The sequence below is a fragment of the Homo sapiens genome, chromosome 13 (assembly GCF_000001405.40).
Source record: "Homo sapiens chromosome 13, GRCh38.p14 Primary Assembly".
Classification (NCBI taxonomy): domain Eukaryota; kingdom Metazoa; phylum Chordata; class Mammalia; order Primates; family Hominidae; genus Homo; species Homo sapiens.
Window position 1 is genome coordinate 21066624 of NC_000013.11, and position 13661 is coordinate 21080284.

General features: G+C 46.9%; 1 long non-coding RNA gene across 2 annotated transcripts, besides 2 other annotated features; it reads left to right on the plus strand.

Annotated features, from left to right (window-relative positions):
* The first annotated feature begins 908 nt into the window (after window positions 1-908).
* On the plus strand, window positions 909-9000 carry LOC105370104 (uncharacterized). 2 transcript variants are annotated; one of them, XR_941728.1, is made up of 4 exons: window positions 909-974; window positions 3353-3434; window positions 5681-5717; window positions 8770-9000. It is a non-coding gene; the product is annotated as an uncharacterized LOC105370104 (long non-coding RNA). The 2 variants fall into 2 exon arrangements; XR_007063712.1 differs by lacking the exon at window positions 909-974 and having other exon boundaries at window positions 2691-3434.
* Window positions 8476-8976: an enhancer, noted in NCBI's record as "H3K27ac hESC enhancer chr13:21649238-21649738 (GRCh37/hg19 assembly coordinates)". NCBI's record gives its function as "activates a minimal SCP1, AML or CMV promoter by ChIP-STARR-seq in naive H9 embryonic stem cells {active_cell/tissue: H9 hESC(naive)}" and the evidence as "EXISTENCE:reporter gene assay evidence [ECO:0000049][PMID:30033119]".
* Window positions 8977-9477: an enhancer, noted in NCBI's record as "H3K27ac hESC enhancer chr13:21649739-21650239 (GRCh37/hg19 assembly coordinates)". NCBI's record gives its function as "activates a minimal SCP1, AML or CMV promoter by ChIP-STARR-seq in naive H9 embryonic stem cells {active_cell/tissue: H9 hESC(naive)}" and the evidence as "EXISTENCE:reporter gene assay evidence [ECO:0000049][PMID:30033119]".

Sequence of the window (13661 nt, forward strand, 5' to 3'; positions counted from 1 at the left end):
CACACCTGTAATCCCAGCACTATGAGAGGCTGAGGTGGGAGGATCACTTGAGTCCAGGAGTTCAAGACCAGCCTGGGCAACATGGCAAAACATTGTCTCTACATAAAAATACAAATAAATTAGCTGGGCATAGTGGCACATGCCTGTGGTCCCAGCTATTTAGGAGGCTGAGGCTGCAGTGAGCCATGATTGCTCCCACTGCACTCCAGTCTAGGTGACAGAGGCCCTGTCTCAAAAAAAAAAAAAATTGCACTTAATACATTCAATTTAACAGTTTTGGGTTTTGTTTTTTTTTTTTTTTTTGGCCTTTTTTTTGTTTTTCGTTTTTGTTGGGTGGGGGAGAACATAGGCGTATGCCATCCCACCAGGCTAATTTTTTTGTATTTTTTGTAGAGATGTTATTCTGCCATATTGCCCAGGCTGGTCTTGAGTGTTGGGATTATAGGCATGAGCCACCGCACCAGGCTTTGTCTGTGTTTTGAGGAATTGTTGTTGTTGTTGTGGTTAGTTATTATGAAATGTTTATCTATTAGTCTGTGCCTCCAGTTCCTGAAACAGAGCTCTTAATATCCTTGTATGTAGGGGCGCTAGGAGAATCTTCTGTTCTAATATTTGGTCTTTGACCCCAATTCCTGACACATAGCTCCTGAATCCCTCAGAATTTCCTGGGCGATAGGAGCATCTTTGTTCCAATCAGGTGACTGTTGGTGGCTCCTGGATGGAGACTGGTTGCCAGAAAGACCAAGTCATGATTAGACTCTTGGAACTTTCAGCCCTATCTCCCATCCTCCAGGAAGGGGAGAGGGGCTGGTGATTGAGTTAATAATCATGCCAACATCATAAAGCCTCCATAAACTGCAGTGTTCAGGAGCTTCTGGGATGATGAATATATCTGCATGCTGGGAGGGTGGCACACTCCAGCTCCATGGGGACAGAAAGCCCAGCACTCAGGACTCTTCCAGACCTCAACCTATGTATCTCTTCTGTTCATCTGTATCCTTTATAGTATCTGTCATTAACCTGTAAATGCGGGTGTTTCCATGAGTTTTATTATTTTTATTTATTTATTTTTTTGAGACAGAGTCTCGCTCCGTCGCCCAGGCTGGAGAGCAGTGGCATGATCTCAGCTCACTGCAAACTCCGCCTCCCGGGTTCAAGTGATTCTCCTGCCTCAGCCTCCCGAGTAGCTGGAATTACAGGCGTGCGGCACCATGCCTGGGTAATTTTTGTTGTTTTTTAATTTTTTTTCAGTAGAGACGGGGTTTCACCATGTTGGCCAGGCTGTCTCAAATTCCTGACCTCAAGTGATCTGCTGGCCTCGGCCTCCCAAAGGCATGAGCCACTGCACCCGGCCTCCATGAGTTTTATAAGCCATCCTAGCAAACTAATAAAACCTGAGAAGGGGTAGTGAAAAGTGATTTACAGACAGTTGATTACCAGTTTAGGTGACAACCTACTATTGGCATCCCAAATGGGGGCAGTATTCTAGGACTGAGCCCTTAACCTATGGGGTCTGCACTAACTCCAGGTAGATAGTGTCAGAATTGAACTGAATTATTCTAGGACACCCAGTTGGTGTGTGATGGGAAAAACCCACACGTTTTGGTGACCAGAAGTGTGTTGAGTGTTGAATGTGAATGTAGAAGGAAAAACTTTTGCCTCAGTTGGTTTTTTCTTTAGAGTTGTTTTGTCTCTGTTAGGTAATCAGCTATTTTTTTCTCTGCTATTAAGAATCCAGTCTTTAGTAATATATCATACCTTATTAATTTTAAACTTTTAATCTATTAGCAAAGAAACATTGCTTAGCTTATTAAAATTATATGTAAAGTAAAAACTAATAGAACTTCTTATCCTTAAAACCTTTTTTTCTATGCAGAGAACCAGAACTTTCTGACAGCTATTTCAACTATCAAAAGACCTTTTGCTCCCTCATTTCCTAGACATTTTCCACAGAGTTTATAATATTGGACGTCAGATTTAGGGAAAAGTGGAGTATTACTGTTTTGTTTGTTTTTGCTTTTTTGAGACAGGGTCTGGGTCTGTCACCCAGGCTGGAGTGCAGTGGCATGATCACGGCTCACTGCAGCCTCGACCTCCCAGGCTCAAGGGATCCTCCTACCTCAGTCTCCCCAGCAGCTGGGACTACAGACGCATGCTACCACGCCTGGCTAATTTTTGTATTTTTTGTAGACACTGTGTTTCGCTATGTTGTCCAGGCTGGTCCCGTACTCCTGGGCTCAGGTGATTTCCGCCTCTCGAGGTGTTAGGATTACAGGCATGAGCCACCTCGCCCAACGAGTATTATTATTATTATTGTTTGTTTGAGACAGAATCTCACTCTGTCACCTAGGCTGGAGTGTAGTGGTGCAATCTCAGCTCACTGCAACCTCTGCCTCCCATGTTCAAGTGATTCTCCTGCCTCAGCCTACTGAGTAGCTGGGACCACAGGCCTGCGCCATTACGTCCGGCTAATTTTTGTATTTTTAGTAAAGACAGGGTTACGCCATGTTGGCCAGGTTGGTCTCAAACTTCTGAGCTCAAAGTGATCCACCCGCCTCGGCTTCCCAAATTGCTGGGATTACAGGTGTGAGACACCGCACCTGGCCTATTTTGTATTTTTAAAAAGCCTTTATTTAATAGGTTTTGCCACTAGTTTTCTTTCTTAATTTAAATCGTATTTTTAAATTTGTGGTAAAATATACATTACATAAAACTTACCATTTTAACCATTGTAACCATTACAAATTCTCATTTTGTACAATTATGAAAACAATTTGGGTACCAGGGGAGAAAATCTTCAGTATTAAATTTCAATTCTTATTCATGTTTTCCAATATTAAAATCATGAGACTGTACATTTTCCTCTGATTTTAATTTATTTCTAATTGCTTTGCTTTTAGCTATTTTGGAAAACTGAATCTCCAGGAAAATACAGCAACAGCCTCTAATGCATAGTTAGGGAAGGCCCAGGGTTCCAGCAACTTTCCAGGGCAACCACCTGACCAGTCCCCGCAGACCTCCCTTTCCAGCCACCTCCAGAGACTCCAAGTGTAGCTTCATTCTCCAAATAGCCACTCTGCTTCTCAGATGAGTAATAAACTATGTGGTTGCGTAAGTCAGAATTGCTCAATAATTTGAGAAGATTCATTCCCAGAAAAGCTCAAAGATACACTATGAAGATACAAATCACATTCTGCATTTACAGAATTCTTGTGTTGACACTTACGTTAGTAAGAGAAGAATTGCTAAAACAATTTTTTTTCTTACCACGTCCCCCGAAAGCTTACTCTGTCTGCTGAGTGAGCTATGACAGCAACACCAACTATTTACTCATTTCTCATTACGTTTACAGTTGGCTGCAACTTCCATTTCATTTGCAGACCTGAGCAGAATGCTGCTTTGTCTATAATTAAAAGAAACATCCCATTGAAAAGGTGAAGTTTTAATTCTATATGCTCCAAAACCTTCCATTTAAATTTTTTATCAAACGTTTGCAGTAAACATTGGTAAAACTTGCTTTAGGAGCAACAGGGTAAGGCCCAAACTCTCATCTCAACAAGAATCCATTTCCATAACAAAACTAATATTTTCAAAGTCATCTGAGTTAATCTAAATTGACAATACATATTTAATTGTGTAACTGTAAAGGAAACATTTTCATGATATGTTTTTAAACTTTGAATTTAAAATTAACTACTAAATGTTGTTTTGGTTGTTATTTTACAGCTCCTTTTAAGACCAGTATTTTTTTTTTTTTTTTTTTGAGATGGAGTCTCGCTCTGTTGCCCAGGCTAGAACGCAGTGGTGCGATCTCAGCTCACCGCAAGCTCTGCCTCCCGGGTTCACGCCATTCTCCTGCCTCAGCCTCCCGAGTAGCTAGGACTACAGGCACCCGCTACCACGCCCAGCTAATTTTTTTTTATATTTTTAGTAGAGAACAGGGTTTCACTGTGTTAGCCAGGATGTTCTTGATCTCCTGACCTTGTGATCCCGCCTCGGCCTCCCAAAGTGCTGAGATTACAGGCGTGAGCCACCATGCCTGACCTTAAGACCAGTATTTTGCTTTATCAGCCGGGCGAGGTGGCTCACGCCTGTAATCCTAGCACTTTGGGAGGCCGAGGTGGGAGGACTGTCTGAGCTCAGGAGTTCGAGACCAGCCTGGGCAACATGGTGAAACCTGTCTCTACTAAAATACAAAAAAAAAAATTAGCCGGGTGTGGTGGTGTGTGCCTATAGTCCCAGCTACTCCAGAGGCTGAGGCAGGAGAACTGCTGAACCCGGGAGGCCGAGGCTGCAGTGAGCCAAGATCATGCCACTGCACTCCAGCCTGGGTGAAAGAGTGAGACTCGTCTCCTAAAAAAAAAAAAAAAACCCTCAGTATTTTGCTTTATCAACCAGAGCTGATAAATAAAAACCGAATGAGTTATCTTTGCCTGCTTGATAAATGGGTTTGATAATGAAAACCATGATGAGATTATGATAAGGTGATTCACCTGCAGAAGTGGAAGCCGGCCAGTAACCAAGAGGCTGCCAAATTTCAGAGAGCAAAGGGAAATCTACACAAATCAGGATGCAGTCTCTGCAGATCGTATTTGATAGTTGGTAACCCCAGGCCAAAAAGAGTTCTTGGGTTTGAGGTTGGAACTCGAAAAATGTCCTAGAGCTAATAGCCTTCAGAAAGACATTGGTGGGAGGAAGAACTAATGTTTGAGGTAAAGATACTTGGAAGGAGAAAAGGACAGAACAAAGTCACAGAGAAAGCCTGGTATTTGAGGCATGCAGATAATGGACTTCTGAGAGAGCAGGGAAGATGTTAGAGAAATAGGGAAATGAAGTAAACAAAGAAGTAGACAGATGAGATGGCACAGCTCTGCGATTATGTACAGTCAAACAAATACTTGGGGAGTAAGCTGTAAAAATTATTTCGGAGAGCCCAGCATGGTGGCACATGCCTGTAGTCCCAGCTACTTGGGAGGCTGAGGCAGGAGGATCACTTGAGCCCAGGTCCAATGAAATGGCTATTTCCTGCATAGGATCTGTCCCCATACCCTGCTTGTGCCTTTCCAGGCCTGGATGTCCCCTCCCCAGTTTCTCTTTTGGTTGAAATCCTTCTCATTTGCAGTAGGCAGAATAATAGCCACCCCCAAAGATGTCCATGCCTTAATGACTGAAACCAGTGACTGTGTTACCTGACTTGGCAAAGGGGGAGCTGTAGATGTGGTTGTGGTTACAAACCTTAAACGGGGGAGACTATGCTGGATTATTCAGGTGGGGCCCAGCGTAGTCAAATGGGTCCTTAAAAGCAGTAGAAGGCAGAAGGGGAGGCTAGAAAGATGCAACAGCAAAAGAAGGACTTGACCCTGCTGCTAGTTTTGAAGATGGAGGCCACAAGTCAAGGGATGCAGCAGCTTCCAGAAGCTGAGAACAGCCAGCAAGAAACACTCCCCAGTCCTAAAACCACAAAGACCTGAATTAGGCTAAAAGCCCAACTAGCAGGAACAGCCCCTTTGCTAGAGCCTCCAGGAAGGGATGCAGCTCTCCAGCTCCTTGGTTTTAGTCCAACAAGATCAACATTGGGCTTCTGACCTACAGGACTATAAGATAATCAAGTTATGTTGCTTTCAGCCACTAAGTTTGTGGTTCAGTAGTCCCCCCTTACCTGTGACTTTGCTTTTCACAGATTCAGTTACCTACTGTCAACCAAGGTCAGAAAATAGGTGAGTACAATACAGTAAGATATTTTGGGAGAGAGAGAGACCAAATTCACATAACTTTTATTACAGTATATTGTTATAATGGTTAATGGTTCTATTTTATTTTTAGTTTTTTTTTCTTTTCTTTTTTTTTTTTTTCTGAGATGGAGTCTCACTCTGTTGCCCAGACTAGAGTCCAGTGGCACGATCTCAGTTCACTGCAGCCTTCGCCTGCTGGGTTCAAATGATTCTCTTGCCTCAGCCTCCCGAGTAGCTGGGACTACAGGTGCACGCCACCACGCCCAGCTAATTTTTGTATTTTTAGTAGAGACGGGGTTTCACCATGTTGGCCAGGCTGGTCTCAAACTCCTGACCTCAAGTGATCCGCCCATCTTGGCCTCCCAAAGTGCTGGGATTACAGGGCGTGAGCCACCGTGCCCGACCAGTTATTGTTGTTAATCTCTTACTGTGCCTAATTTATAAATTATCATAGGTATGTATGTATAGGAAAAACATAGTTTATATAGGGTTCAGGGCTATCTGCAGTTTCAGGCATCCACAGGGGGATGAACGTATCCCCTGCAAGTAAGGAAGGAAAACTGTATTTGTTACGGCAGCAACAGGAAACAACTACACCATCCTTCATGGCCTGCTTCTCACTCAGTGTCTCTGAGAAGTTGTTCTTGATCTTAGCCAGGAACAGCCCCCTTTGCTTTTTCCTGAATTCCCAGGAGCTCTGTGGGACTTCTGCCCCCTGAGAAATGGTCTGGTGTCATGATTCCTTGTAGACCTGTCTCATATTATTAGAGTTTTAGCTCTTTGAGGTAAGAGGTTAGGATGTAGGCAGGTATGGTAGCTGCCACAGTATCCAACCCCTTGCCTAGTACATAGAAGCCACTCAACAAATTGTGTTTTACATAAAAAAGTGGACAAATGGAAGCCTCCATAAACACGGCAGAAACAAAATAACTATAGTTGGTACAACCTTTCTCTTCTCTTTTCCCACAGGTTAGTTATTATTATTTTATCTCTGAAATTAGAAGCCATTTCTTTACTATCTATTGTCTGTGGCCCCAAAATTATTTGAGTACTTCCTGTTAACAAGAAATGTTATTCTTGTCACATAGTTATATTTCATGTGTTTCCAAAGAAGAGGACCTTAGAACTTTAAGGAATTAATAATAAATAAGAATGCCTGCTTGGCCGGGCGCAGTGGCTCACGCTTGTAATCCCAGCACTTTAGGAGGCCGAGGCGGATGGATCACCTGAGGTCAGGAGTTCGAGACCAGCGTGGCCAACATGATGAAACCCCATCTCTACTAAAAATACAAAAATTAGCCGGGCGTGGTGGCACACACCTGTAATCCCAGCTACTCAGGAAGCTAAGGCAGGAGAATTGCTTGAACCTGGGAGGCAGAAGTTGCAGTGAGCCGAGTTTGAGCCATTGCACTCCAACCTGGGTGACAGAGCGAGACTCTGTCTCAAAAAAAAAAAGAATGCCTGTGGCTGGGCATGGCGGCTCACACCTTTATCCCAGCACTTTGGGAGGCCGAGGTGGGTGGATCACTTGAGGTCAGGAGTTTGAGACCAGCCTGGCCAACATGGTGAAACCCCATCTCTAATACAAATAGAAAAATTAGCCAGCTGTGGTGGCAGGTGCCTGTAATCCCAGCTACTCAGGAGGCTGAAGCACAAGAATCACTTGAACCTGAGAGGCGGAGGTTGTAGTGAGCCAAGATGGCACCACTGCACTCCAGCCTGGGAACAGAATGAGACCCCATCTCAAAAAATAAAATAAATAGAATGGCAGGGTGCGTGTTTCACGCCTGTCATCCCAGCACTTTGGGAGGCAGATGCGGGCAGATCACTTGAGGCAGGAAGTCAAGACCAACCTGCCCAACATGGTGAAACCGCATCTCTACTAAAAAAAACAAAAACAAAACAAAAAAAAAACTGGGCATGGTGGCCTACATCTGTAGTCCCAGCTACTGGAGAGGATGGGGTGCGGGGAGGATAGAGGCTGAGGTGTGAGGATTGCTTGAGCCCAGAAAGTCGAGGCTGCAGTGAGCTTCAACTTGGGCGACAGAGTGAGACCCTGTCTCAAAAAAAAAGAACTTTAAGAAGTCAAGACAAAAAGAAAATATTTGTTAAACATTTTAAACAACTGAAACTACACTAAAAATCACAACTCAAGAGTGAAACTAACAGGCTCGTTTTCTAAGGGGAGATCGGACATGATAGATGTTTTTCCCAGCCTGTCTTCTAAGCATCCACATCACACTCGCAGATGGCCCTTCCATCTGACAAATCGTGTACTAATTATTTTTCAAAATGTGTATGAGTTGAAGATCTCCCTAATGACTGTGCAACTATTCAAATGTTGAACACAACTTAGCTGGAGAAATCTGGAGAAGTCTGGCTGGGAAGGGAAGAAGAAGCAGGAAAACAGGGCTAAGCCAAGACGTGCAGCTGGAGCAGAAGGAGTCAGAACGGGCTGGCAGAGAGCGCTGAGCTCCCAGCAGGGGAAGAAACCAAAGAACATGGAGGCTCCTGCGACGAGAGGCCTGTAGGTTTTGGGCGCCCACCCTGCTACCGTAGAATGGTTCTTGGCAATAGATTTCTCAATTTCCTTCTCCAGTTTAATTTTTTAATAACTGAGTACAGTTAAAAATAGAGTAAGATCACAGTCTCCCAAGCACAGTTCCTTTTTTATTTGTGGTCCCCAAGAGGAGTCAAAAGTAAGAGCAGGGACTGGGGGGTACCCTGTGTGTCCTGGCATCATTTCACGGAAGGTAAGGCCATGTCACCACATCCCCAGTACAGGGCTGGCCCGGCATGGTATCCGCAGGAAACAGTGATCGAGCCCTCCTTCCTCCTACGTCCCCACCGCATCCTGGGCAACATTTTCTCTCTTAACTATAACCGCTGAGTATTTGTATTTTTCAGGGAACCTCAGGAGACATAAAGCCTTTAAGGTTTAAAGGACTGAATCTCTTCCGGTGCAATTTCTGGAATTATAAGTATATTTTTTTCCTTTCTTCATTCATTCATTCAATACGTATGTTTTGAATTCCAGGCATAGCGCTAGCCATGGAGACCATAGTGGTGGGCAACGCAGACACGACCCTGTCGTCACAAAACTTAAAGTTTAAAGAAGACAGACTAATAAAATAATCACAGAAACGAATATCTGCTGCGAAGCAGTAGGAAGTGCCCTGCGGTCTGTTTCCCCTAGCAGAGACTGGCCTTGTGGCGGAAGACCCCCGCGCGTAGGGAGGGCCGGTGCGGCGACTCCGGGCGGGGCGCGCTGTTGGTGTCCAGGGCGCGGAGCCTGCGCCAGCTTCACAAAAGCGGTGTGGACGCCTGAGCCAGTCCGCTCTTGCTGGACGGCTCCCCATAGTTTAGCCCAAAAATCCCCCTCTGGGTGGCTCTGGCAGGAGTGATTTAGGGCCACAATTAGGTTGGACGAGGAGTGGGGACTTGCCCCGAGCTGCCTTTGCAGACCCGGCGGCGGCGTTCTCCCCAAGGCTGCCCGCTTGGCTGCGCGGCTGAGGCGAGTTGAGGACCCAGCCCGTCCCCAACTCTCCTCACCCCTCCGCCCCCCGCTCGCCTCACCCCTCCGGCCCCCGCCCCCCCCCCTCCGTCCCCCACTCTCCTCACCCCTCCGCCCCGCCCGCTCCTCTCACCCCTCCGGCCCCCACCCTCCTCACCCCTCCGCCCCGCCCGCTCCTCTCACCCTTCCTCCCCCCGCCCCCGCTCTCCTCACCCCTCCGGCTCCCGCCTGCTCCACCCCTCTGCGCCCCCCCACGACCCCTCCGGCCCCTGCTCCCCACACCCCTCCTCCACCCTCACCCCTCCGCCTCGCCCCGGGGTGGGGACCTGCCCGGGCGGCTTCCCCATAGGCCAGTGCTGGGCCCGCGGTGCTTCTAGCGGCCCAGGGAAACGTTTTAATTTTCATTTATTTTAAAATCAAAATAAATAATTGAATGTGATAACATTGAATCTATAATAATAAAAACTCCAGTCTGGGTCATGTTCGCCTTTAGACACTAAGTCATGAAACCACTTACATCTTCAGGAGGAAGGGCACGTGGAGGCTGCAGTCGTCGCACAGTGCAGGGGCGGAGGGGCGGTGGCTGAGGCTGCAGGGAGGAGAGGGGAGGCCCGGGGGTGGGGGGGCGGCCCAGCCAGGCCCTGTGAGAAGGGAAGGATGGAAGTCACTGGAAGGCTTAAGGGGGCGAAACTTGATGTTATAAAGAGAACGCTGTGGCCGGGAGCGGTGGCTCACGCCTTTAATCCCAACGCTTTGGGAGGCCAAGGCGGTGTGATCGCGTGAGGTTGGGAGTTCGAGACCAGCCTGACCAACGTGGAGAAACCACGTCTCTACTAAAAATACAAAATTAGCCGGGCAGGGTGGCTCATGCCTGTAATCCCAGCTACTCAGGAGGCTCAGGCAGGAGAATCGCTTGAACCCGGGAGGCGGAGGTTGCGGTGAGCTGAGATCACGCCATTGCACTCCAGCCTGGGCAACAAGAGCGAAGCTCCTCAAAAATAAATTAATAATAAATAAAATAAAGAGCACGCTGAGGCAGGGCTCACATCCATAATCCCAGAAGTTTGGGAGGCAGTGGAGGGCAGATCGCTTGAGGCCACGCATTTCAGACCAGCCTGGGCAACATAGCAAGACCCCATCTCTACAAAAAATACAAAAATTCCCCGGGCATGATGGTGCGGGCCTCCGGTCCCAGCTACTTGGGAGACTGAGGCTGAAGGATTGCTTGAGCCTAGGAGGTTGAGGCTGCAGTGGAGCCGAGATTGCCGCTCTGCACTCCAGCTTGGGCGACAGAACCAGAACCTGTAAAAAGAAAAAAAAAACAGCAAAAAAAAAACACCCCAAAACCGCACTCTGGCTACTGAGTGGGAGCAGCAGTTGTGGGGAAGAGGCAAGCGGAAGTAGACAGAGCCGAGGTCCCATGGCAGCTGAGCACCGAGGGTGAGGGCTTCTCAGGGCAGGCCCTGGTAGTCAGCTAGGGAAAGCTCTGCCAACATCGGGATCCTAAACAACAGGAGTTCACTCCTCTCACACTCATGGAGGCTGGAAATCCGGAACCAAGGTGTGGGTAGGCTGGGCTCCTGTGAGGCCGAGGGAGGATCTGTTTCAGGCCTTTCTCCTAGCTTGACGTCTCCTGGTCATCTCAGGCATTACCTGGCTGGCTGGTTGCTGTCTTCTCCCTGTAACTTTCTCCTTTCTTCCCTTTCCTTCCTTTTTCTTTTCTCTCCCTCTCGCTTTCGACAGGGTCTTGCTCTGTTGCCCAGGCTGGAGTGTAGTGGCCCAATCTCGGCTCACTGCAGCCTCTATCTCCTGGCCTCAAGTGATACTCCCGACTCAGCCTCCTGAGTGCTGGGATCCCAGGTGCGCGCCACCGCACCTGGCCCCGCCTTCCCTTTTGAATGTCTTCCGGATGCAGCCTTGGCACTTTCTCTAGCCATCCCCTCCTTTGGTTCCCAGGCCCAGCTCTCCCTTCTCCCTCAAACCGGATCCAGCCCTCCTGCACCCCGGCCTGTGTGCAGCCGCAGGAGAGGAGTAAGCCAGCCTCTCGCGTGCGGTGCTCTCTGCATAGGTTTAGTGGTGGGGACCAACACGCGAGCTGGCGCTTTCCGTGCGAGCCCAGCATCAGGCGGAGGCCCAGGGCCAACCGGACTCTGAACAAAGGGAGCCGACAAATGAGAAAGCAAAGGTACCTCAGAGACTACGAAGCCCTTCAGATGGAAATGGTCATCTCCCAACAGCCTCTCTGGACCACTGCCTGCAAGCCCGGCCCACACATCTTGGACCCAGGCTGGAGACACAGACAGCCAGGTGTTGATGCCCACGCGCAGCTCCAAGACCCCGGGGAGCCTCCGCCAGGCCGGAACCTGCGCCAGGCTTCTCTGGAACCTTCTCTCCAGGACGCTCTTCTGCGGTTACTGAAAAAGGGAGTCTACATGAATTAATAAGTGAAGGTGAGGAAGGGAGGGAGGGAGGGAAGGAGGGAGGGAGGACGGAAGGAAGGAAGGAAGGAAGGAAAGAGGGAGGGAAGGAAGCGGGGGAGGGACGGAGGGCCTTACCTCCTACTTGACAACAGCTCCATGGCAGGGATTATTTTAGTCTTGGTTCCATCCCAGCACCTAGAAAAGGGCCTGGCAAGTAGGAGGTGATCAATAAATGTGATAGAACAATTGAAATTAATGACTTTCTAAAGAACCAATCAGGCAAGTGACGTGAACTCATGGTTCCTTCAGCTGCCCAGGAATGCTGTGTATGTGTTTCTGTTTATTTTCCAGATGGTTTTGATTCTTAATAGTTTTCCCACTTATTGCTCTGAAAGCTCCCATTGCTCTTGTCTTAAAACTCCTCCCATTCCTGCCACTTCCTTCAGGAAGCCTTTCCTGATCTTATATTGCAAGCATATGGCCTCTGGTCTGGGAGGCAGCTGAGCATCTGGGAAAGACCCGGGCTTTGGAGCCAACACATTTCGCTGGTTGTGAGATCTTAACCAAGTTTCTTAAAACGTCAAAGCCTTGTTTTTCTCATTTGTAAAGCAGGTATTTATATCTGTTTCTTAGTGATACGAGGATCAAATGAGGTAGTACATGTGAAGTGCCTGGCATGTGGTAGGTGTTCATTGAATAAATAAACCTTTTATCCAAAGAAAAATTGGGAAGAGCTGGAGCTTACCAAGTATCAACAGAGTGAAAAGATTATTTTAGAAGGAAAGATAAAGCCAATAACCTTTCTGTGAATTTTAAGTCTAGTGAATCAAATTATTAACATCAAATTTGGGGAGGGAAATGCATTTCTACGGAAGGTAATGGCACCATATGCTGCCAATTAAAGCCCATAGCTGTGCGTTCCTAGGATTGTGAACAGAACATCTAAAAAAAGGCATTTATGATGATCTTAAGTAAGGCATAGTTGTGACAAACATCCCGCTGATATTGAATAGTTTTTAAAATAAAACTACTTAGCTATATTAAATTCTGCATGCTGTACATGCCAGAAATCTAAAAGAATTTGGGGACTTTGAATGGAATTTCCCTAACCTTAGGAAGGAACACCACAACTTGAACATCACCACTGCCAACTGTGGAATTAATTCTAAGCCATTCTAGGGCCTGAAAGTGTTTTGTTTGGCGAGAATAGAGCAATATATTATGGAGGATCTCTGAAATTCAGGGTTCTGGTTCAGGGATAATCCTAGTTTTTCTTTAACGCTATCATACAAAGAGAAGAAACATAGGATTTACAGGTTAGACTGGAAAATACGAGAAGATGACTTTGAACTTGCTGGTATCCCATGTATTATGTTACCACTTCACCCTTTTTGGAGGTTTGTTTTTACATCCATCACGTAATTAACTGAATTGATCAAATTCATGCTATCCTTTGTCAAGAGAAGACCTACACACACACACACACGTGTGTGTGTGCACGACGGCCTCTCTCTCCGCTGGAAATTAGAGGTGAGAGTGGTTCAGGCAGGCAGCTCCCTGCAACATGCTCTGTGAGGCAACATCCCGTTTGGTCAGTTCACATACCCAAAAGAATGTGTCACTGCAAAACTCAGAATGTCAGGAAACTGAGACTATGGGTGAGGAGAAATGGTCAAATGATTTCAATTCCTTCCTTGAGAAGCAATTCCTCACACCACGGAGAATGCTCAGAGGAATTTGCTCTTTCACTTCAGGAAACAGTCCTCCTATCTAATGGGCATTATCACAAATGCCAGTGGGCTGACCCAGGACAAATGACAGTTCGAGGGGCTCAGCCCTGAAAATTCCCTGGCAGTGCTGGACGTTAATCTGCAATGAAGTCATCACATGTGAGTTCTACAAAAAAGCACAAATGACAAAACACTGACGTACGGGCTTTCATTTGTGTAGAAAACAAACACTTGTCTGCTCAGCTGAAAACAAATCTCGTATTTA